The sequence below is a fragment of the Homo sapiens genome, assembly GCF_000001405.40.
Source record: "Homo sapiens chromosome 1 unlocalized genomic scaffold, GRCh38.p14 Primary Assembly HSCHR1_CTG1_UNLOCALIZED".
Lineage (NCBI taxonomy): Eukaryota > Metazoa > Chordata > Mammalia > Primates > Hominidae > Homo > Homo sapiens.
Window position 1 is genome coordinate 35,534 of NT_187361.1, and position 8,588 is coordinate 44,121.

Here is an 8,588-nt window from a genome sequence, read left to right on the forward strand (position 1 = left end):
CTCGCAGCAGTGTTCTGGAATTCTATGTGAGTGACAAACATTCAGACTCCAGCAGCAGTGTTCTGTATTCCAATGTGAAGGACAAACATTCAGAATCCAGGAGCAGTGTTTTGAAATCATATGTTAAGGGCAAACATACAGACCCTAGCATCAATATTCTAGAATCATATGTGAGGGACATACATTCAGACCCTCGCAGCAGTGTTCTGGAATCCTAGATGGGGGACAAACATTCAGACCCCAGCAGCAGGCTTCTGGAATCCTATGTGGGGGACAAACATTCAGACAATGGCAGCAATGTTCTGGAATCCTATGTGAGGGACAAACACTCAGAGCCTTGTAGCAGTGTTCTGGAATCCTATGTGAGCGAGAGTGCCTGGAGCCTACCCAACCTGACGCCCCCAAAGCCCTCACAGGGTCTGACCTCCCAGCATGCACCTGTCTCTCCCTGAACCCCAACTGCCCACCCTGCCTTTTCCCTGGCCTCCTCCATCCTGTGCAGCCCATAGACTGTGACCTTCTCTCCAGCCACTCTGGCCCTTCCTTTACCTTTGTCCTGTCAGAATCTCTGAGCAGGATCTCCCAGGTCCATCCAAATACGTGCTTTGTCCACTTCTGACTAGGCCCTTGGGCATCACTGGGCTATCCCAGCTGTCCACAAGGCCTTCAATAATGCACATTGCACCTGGCTTATCCAAGCAGTGCTCAGCAGCCCACATTGACCAGGTCCCTGCTGACCAGACCCTGCACATCAGGTCCTCCCTGATGACACCCTCACTGATTAGACCCTCATGACCAGGCCCCACTAACAAGGCCCCCACTGCCAGGCACACAATGACAAGGACTCCACTGACCAGGACCTTACTGACAAGGCCTCACTGACAAGGACTCATGGACTAAGTCCTTACTGACAAGTCCTCACTGACTAGGTCATTATTGACAAGGCCTCACTGATCAGGTTCCACTGATCATGACCTCATTCCCTGGCCCCAAAGATGAGGCCCCACTGACCAGGCCTCCAGGGAACAGGTTGCCACTGATCAGGCCCCTAATAACGAGGCCTTATGTCACCAGATGCCCCTGACTGGGACCCTAGTGAGTAGACCCCACTGAACCGGCACCAAATGCTGAGATCCCCGCTGACCAGGTCACCCTGTAGACCGGTGCTACAAAAGTCACCACTGACCAAGTCCTCTCTGACCAGGACACTACAGATTAGGTCCCACCGACAAGGCTGCCCTGACCAGGGCCCCACTGACAAGGGCCTCACTGATGAGGACACGCCCACCAGAGTCTGCTGACTAAGTCCCATGTGCCCACTCCTCCACTGAATAGCACCCCTTGACCTGGTCACTAGTGCCCCAACCCATGCTGACCAGGCCAGCACTAAGCCCCAGCTGACCAGGTCTCCACTGATCAAGCCCCACAGCCCAGGTTTGCACTGACCAGACACCAAACAACTGGCAGCCAATAGGTCCCCACTCACCAAAACCCCACTACTAGACCCCACTAATGAGACCCTCTCTAAGCAGACCCCTGCTGACCACGATCCCACTAAATAGTCCTCACTGACCTAGGTCCACTGACCAGGCCCACACTGATCAGGTCCCTCCTAACCACGCCGGAAATCCAAGCGGCAATGACATGTTTCATATGGCAGAAGTTGGAACAAGACAGAGAGAGGAAAGAGGTTCCACAGCCTTTTAAACTACTAGATCTCATGAGAACTCACTCACTATCAGGAGGATGGCATTAAGGGCTTGGTGCTTTGCCATTTGTGAAGGATCCACTCCCACTCCTTTATGATTAAAGCTTTTTCCACCTAGGCCCCGACTCTAACATTAGGGAGTGTACTTTCACATGAGTTTTGGAAGGGGCATAGAGAAAAACCGTATTATTCTGTCCCTGACCCCACAAATCTCATGTCCTTCTCACATTGCAAGATACAGTCATGCCTTGCCAGCAGTCTCCCAAAGTCTTAACTCATTTCAGCATTAACTCAAAGTTACAAAGTCCAAAGTCTCATCTGGGTCAAGGCTACATTCTCTTTTGCCTACGAGTCTCTGAAATAAAAAGCAAGTTCACTGTGTCTAAGGTACAATGATGGTACAGGCATTGTGTAAGCTTTCCATATCCAAAAGGGAGACATTTTCCAGAAAGCTTCTTATTTTTATCTGAGGCCCCCTCAGCCTGGCCTTCACTGTCCATGTTTTTGTCAGCATTCTTGTCACAGCCATTTAACCAGTCTCTAAGATGGTCCAAAAATGTTCTCATCTGTCTGTCTTCTTTGGAGCCCTCCAAACTCTTCCAACCTCTACTCATTACCCAGTTCCGAAGTTGCTTCCACATTTTCAGGTATCTTTATAGCAATGCTCCAGTCCTCATTTGCCATTTTTGGTAAGATTTATTTTGAAAAAGAGGTTTAATTGGCTCATGGTTCTGCAGAGTGGACAGGAAGCTTAGTGCTTCTGCTTCTGGGGGGCCTCAGAAATCTTTCAATCATTGTGCAAGGTAATGAAAGAGTGAATTGTCTCACATGACAAGAGGAAATCACGGAGAGTACGGAGTGATATAGAGTTTTCAGTGGCCAGATCTCACGAGAAGTCACTCATGATTGTGAGGACAGTACCAAGGGGATGGTGCTGAACCACTCATGAGAAATTTGCCTTCATGATTCCGTCACCTTATACCAGGATCCACCTCCAACATTAGGAAGCATAACTCAACATGAGATTTGGTGGGGACACATATTCGAATTGCCTCATCAGTCTTTGAGTATACAGACATCCATAGCAGGCTTTATCCAGCCAGCTTCTTTGGGATTCTTTATAGGGTTTCAGATCTATAGGATATCCACTAAAATATTCCTACTTCAAAAGGCAATAAAGTAAGTGGTATTATCATTCTTCAAAAAGTTATAATGGTAGTGTAGGCATTCATAGTATGATTTAGTTCATTTGCTACTGTTTCTATTCTATCACCATATTAACACTTTCCTACACAATTCTATATTCAGCTGGGTTTCAGTTGAGCACAAAGTCATCCTTGTACTACCACCGATAGCTGGCACCAGCTCTTTGATACTGTTATCATTCTGCTGTAGAAAGTACCCGTGAACTGGAAAAAGTCCACAATTGAATAGCTAGTCATTCAACACTATCAAATTTTAGGTGACTTTTTGAAAAAATAGTATCTCTTGTTGCAAGAAATGTTCCATCTGTGATTTCAAGTCTCTCACTTGAGTGAATTGGATGGAAGTGGTAAATTTCAGCCAAAGTGGCCAAAGAAATCCTGTTCCTGTGATAATGACGCCATCAGCCTCTGCACCTCTGTCTTCCCTTCTGCCACATGTTGCCTGTTCTCCGTGACTTTGGTAAGAGCTTCCTTGTGTATGTGGATGATGTCCAGGATGTTTGTCTTGTGTCCCTGAGACAGCACTAACAGGTCCATGGCTGGGTCCAGGTCCTTCCTGGACTGACTGGCAAGGAGCTTACTGATGTTCTTGAAGGCATCTCTGGTGAAGTGGATGGCCTAGTCAAGTTCCAAGGCCTGGCTGAGGCTGAAGAAAAACTGGCCACCTTCTGATGCTCTTTCTAAAAGCCTGTCACTGTCATTTGCTTGCTTGTCAACTCATTGGCTGTGAGGTTGAACTGAGTGGCCTGTGTCCATCTTTTTGGGGAACTATTTGAAGCCATCAGTCTTGCTCTCCCACCCCTAAAGGTTGATGGTCACCACCTGGGGGTGTGCTGAGGGTCAGAAAGAAGCCAGCACTCACTATCTCATCCTTCTCAGCTTTCCTCTTGCACTCTCTCCAGGCTGTCTCTTCAGTGGTGGTGGGATATATCAGAAAGTGATGGAAGATGTGGCACTGTGCCCACACCTAGAAGCTGGCCATGTGGTTGGCTCATCCACCAGAATGGATGCTCCGGGTGCTCTTTGAGCCAGCTTGGCCTTGCCTAGCATGCACAGGCTCCAGGTACCGACATGTTGCTCTGAGTGAGCTTGTCCTGCTTTGGGCCAAATTCTGTCAGGCCAGGGCCACAAGAGGCCGAGTCCCACGGGTGGTAATCCTGGCTGCTTTCTACACTTCCACACAAAGACCTCCTGAAGATGGCCTGTGGTCTACCTCTTTGCAACCAAGAAGCCCGCAGTGCCATATGAATCCTCAGGCATGGACTGGAGCCCCCGAGGAAGCACACACCCTGCTCCTGAGCCTGCTGCTCATTTTCTCTGTGTGGCTCCATTTGTGTCACAGTTGTTGCACAGACTTGTGCATGCTGGGCAAGGCCAAGCTGGCTCAAAAAGCAACCAGCCACCTCTGCAAGGTTGTGCCAGGAGCCGGTGGACCGGCCACCAACCTCACTCACTGCTTGTCAGGTTACATCAGTTATTCTACCCTAGAGGTAGGGCCACAGTGCCATATGCTTTTCCTCAGGCCTCTGCTCTATCAGTAATCAGGCGGCAACCACTCAGGCTGTGGGAACCTGGCCATCCCTCCTTCCTTGAGTAGCTGAGGTTGCTGGCTTGTCCGCCTACTACAGGCACAGCCTTGCAGATGTGGCTAGTTGCTCTGAGCCATCTTGGCCTTGCCTGGCATGCATAGGCCCCAGGTACTGACACTCTGCTCCGAGTCAGCTTGTCCTGCCTTGGGTCAAATTCTAAGTCTGGCCAGGGCCACAGAAGGCCCAGTCCCCTGGGTGCTAATCTTGGCTGCTTTCTGCACTTGAACATAAAGTCCTCCTCAAGACAGCCTGTGTTCTGCCTCTTGGCGACCAAGAAGCCTACAGTGCCATACGAGCCCTGAGGCATGGACTGGAGCCACAAAGGCAGTGCACGCCCCATTCCTGAGCCTGCTGATCATTTCCTCTATATGGCTCCATTTGTAGCACACTTGTTGCAGTGAGGCTTGTGCATGTCAGGCAAGGCCAAGCTGGCTGAAAGAGCAAGCAGCCACCTCTGCAAGGGTGTGCCAGGAGCAGATGGACCAGCTGCCAATCTCACTCACTGCCAGACGTGGTACATCAGTTCTTCTACCCTAAAGGTGGGGCCAAGATGCAGACCACAGGCCATCTTGAGGAGGACTTTATGTTCAAGTGCAGAAAGCAGGCAGGATTACCACCCTGGGTACTCGCCCTTCTGTGGCCTGCAGTGCCATATGAGCCATGAGGCATGGACTAGTGCCATCTGCTTTATACAAAAATTAACTTAAGATTGATTAAAGAGTTAAATATGCCACCTGCTTTTCCTCAGGCCTCTGCTCCATCAGGCATCAGGTGGCAGCTACTCATGCTGTTGGAACCTCACCATCCGGGCTTCCTTGAGTGGGTGAGGTTGCTGGCTTGTCTGCCTGCTACAGGCACAGCCTTGCAGAGGTGGCTGGTTGCTCTGAGCCAGCTTGGCCTTGCCTGGCATGCATAGGCCCCAGGTACTGACACTCTTCTCCGAGTCAGCTTGTCCTGCCTTGGGCCAAATTCTAAGTCTGGAGAGGACCACAGAAGGCAGAGTCCCCTGGATGGTAATCCTGACTACTTTCTGCACTTGAACATAAAGTCCTCCTCAAGACAGCCTGTGGTCTGCAGCTAGGCAACCAAGAAACCCGCAGTGCCATAGGAACCCTGAGGCATTGACTGGAGCCCCAAAGGCAGGGCACACCCTGCTTCTGAGCCTGCTGCTTGTTTCGTCTATGTGGCTCCGTTTGTTGCACAGTTATTACACTGAGGCTTGTGCATGCTGGGCAAACTCCAAGCCACTAGAATTTGGTCCAAGGCAGAACAAGCTCACTGGGAGCAGCGTGTCAGTACCTGGGGCCTGTGCATGCCAGGCAAGGCCAAGCTGCCTTAAAGAGCAAACAGCCTCCTCTGCAAGGGTGTGCCAGGAGCCGGTGGACCCACCACCAACCTCACTCACTACCGGTCAGGGTACATCAGTTGTTCTACCCTAGAGGTAGGGCCCAACTGCCATCTCCTTTTCCTCAGGCCTCTGCTTGATCAGCCATCAGGCGGTGGCCACTCATGCTGTGGGAACTTGGCCATCCCTGCTTCCTTGTGCAGCTGAGGTTGCTGGCTGCTCCACCTCCTCCAGAAGCACCCTTGCAGTGGTAGCTGGTTGCTCTTTGAGCCAGCTTAGCCTTGCCTAGCATGTACAGGCCCCAGCTACTGACACAGTACTCCGAGTGAGCTGGTCCTGCTTTGAGCCAAATTCTAAGTCTGGCCGGGGCCACAGAAGGCCGAGTCCCCTGGGTGGTAAACCTGGCTGCTTTCTGCCCTTGAACATAAAGTCCTCCTCGGCTGGTCTATGGTCTACCTCTTGGCAACCAAGAATCCTGCAGTCCCATACAAGCCCTGAGGCATGGACTGGAGCCCCAAAGGCAGTGCACACCCTGCTTCTGAGCTTGCTGCTCATTTCCTCTGTGTGGCTCCATTTTTAGCACAGTTGTTGCATTGAGGCTTGTGTATGCTGGGCAAGGCCAAGCTGGCTCAAAAAGCAACCAGCCGCGTTTGCAAGGGTGTGCCTGAAGTGGTTGGACTAGCCATCAACGTTGCCCACTCAAGGAAGCAGGAAATGCATGTTTGTACCATGCATTTCACTACAGGTCATTTCCCCTGAGGTTGGTGGCCTAGGTTTTCTTATAGATTTTTTATGGTTTTAGGTCTTACTTCTAACTCTTTCATCCATCTTACTTAATTTTTGTTTAAGGTGTATGGGTGTGGCCCAGTTTCAGTTTTCTGCATTTGGCTAGCCAGTTTTCCCAACACCATTTATTAAATAGGGTATCCTTTCCCATTGCTTGTTTTTGTCAGGTTTGTCAAAGATCAGATGCTTTTAAGTGTGTGGTGTCATTTCTGAGGCCTCTGTTCTGTTCCATTGGTCTATAGATCTGATTTGTTACCAGCCCCATGCTGTTTTGGTTACTGTAGCCTTGTAGAATAATTTGAAGTCAAGTACTGTGATGCCTCTAGCTTTGCTGTTTTTGCTTAGGATTTTCTTGGCTATGTGGGCTCTTTTTTGGTTCCATATGAAATTTAAAGTAGTTTTTCTAATTCTGTGAAGAAAGTAATGGTAGCTTGATGGGGACAGCAGTGAGTCTATAAATTACTTTGGGTGGTATAGCACTCAGGCACAGAAATGTCCTTGTGTTAGGCAATACCATTCAGGACATAGCCATAGGCAGAGTCTTCATCACTATAACACCAAAAGCAATGGCTACAAAAACCAAAATTTACAAATGGGATCTAACTAAACTTAAGAGTATCTGCAGTGCAAAAGAAACTATTATCAGAGTGAACAGGCAACCCAGAGAATGGGAGAAAATTGTTGCAATCTATCCATCTGACAAAGGGCTAATATGCAGAATCTACAAAGAACAAACTTACAAGAAAAAAAAAAAAAAAAACAACCCCATCAAAAAGTAGACAAAGGATATGAACAGACACTTACCAAAGAAGACATTTATACAGCCAACGAACATGTGAAGCAAAGCACATCATCACTGGTCATTAGAGAAATGGAAATCAAAACCACAATGAGATACAATCTCACACCACTTAGAATGGTCATCGTTAAAAAATCAGGAAAGAACAGATGCTAGAGAGGATGTGGAGAAATAGGAAAGCTTTTACACAGTTGGTGGGAATATAAATTACTTCAACCATTGGGGAAGACAGTGTGACAATTCCTCAAGGATCTACAACCAGAAATATCATTTGACCCAGCAATCCCATTACTGGGTATATACCCCCAAAATTATAAATCATTCTAATATAAAGACACATGCACCTGTCTGTTTATTACGGCACTGTTCACAACAGCAAAGACTTGGAACCAAACCAAATGCCCACCAATGATAGACTAGATAAAGAAAATGTGGCATATACACACCACGAAATACTATGCAGCCATAAAAAGGGATGAATTCACGTCATTTGCTGGGACATGAATGAAGCTGGAAACCATCATTTTCAGCTAACTAACAGAAGAACAGAAAACCAAACACCACATGTTCTCACTCATAACTGGGAGTTGAACAATGGGAACACAGGGACACAGGAAGGGGAACATCACACACCAGGGCCTGTCAGGGTGGGGGGCTAGGAGAGGGATGGCATTAGGAGAAATAACTAATGTAGATCATGGGTTGATGGATGCAGCAAGCCACCATGGCATGTGTATACCTATGTAACAAACCTGCATGTTCTGCACATGTACCCCAGAACTTAAAGTATAATTAAAAAAAAGAAATTTGCTTTTAATTAAGCTTTTAATCATAGAACTTGTAAAGAAAATCCTTTTGAATCTTTTATTACCACATCATAGCTGGGACAAACTGCTGACGCTTTAAAAGTAACACAAATATCAAACAGAAAGAACTAGACTTAGGAACCAAACTCAGGTTTCTGTAGTGAACAGGGCAGAATCTTCACATTGGGTCACCACCACTACTCCTTCAGTTTAGCCTTGGCTAGCAAAAGGGTGGCCTTGTTATGTAGATGAGACCACTTATGTAAAAAAAAAAAAAAGTTTTAAAAAATAATTTCTGCTAACTGGAATGTTTTTTGTTGTTGTTTATTTGTTTGTTTGTTTGTTTGCAG

General features: G+C 47.9%; 1 long non-coding RNA gene and 1 pseudogene across 1 annotated transcript in view; one reads left to right on the top strand and one right to left on the bottom strand.

Moving 5' to 3' along the window:
- Positions 1 to 8,588, top strand: part of LOC105379854 (uncharacterized) — a 71,606-nt gene that overhangs the window by 34,247 nt on the left and 28,771 nt on the right. The gene's annotated exons all lie outside the window — the stretch shown is intronic.
- Positions 3,161 to 3,914, bottom strand: SNX18P18 (sorting nexin 18 pseudogene 18; annotated as a pseudogene).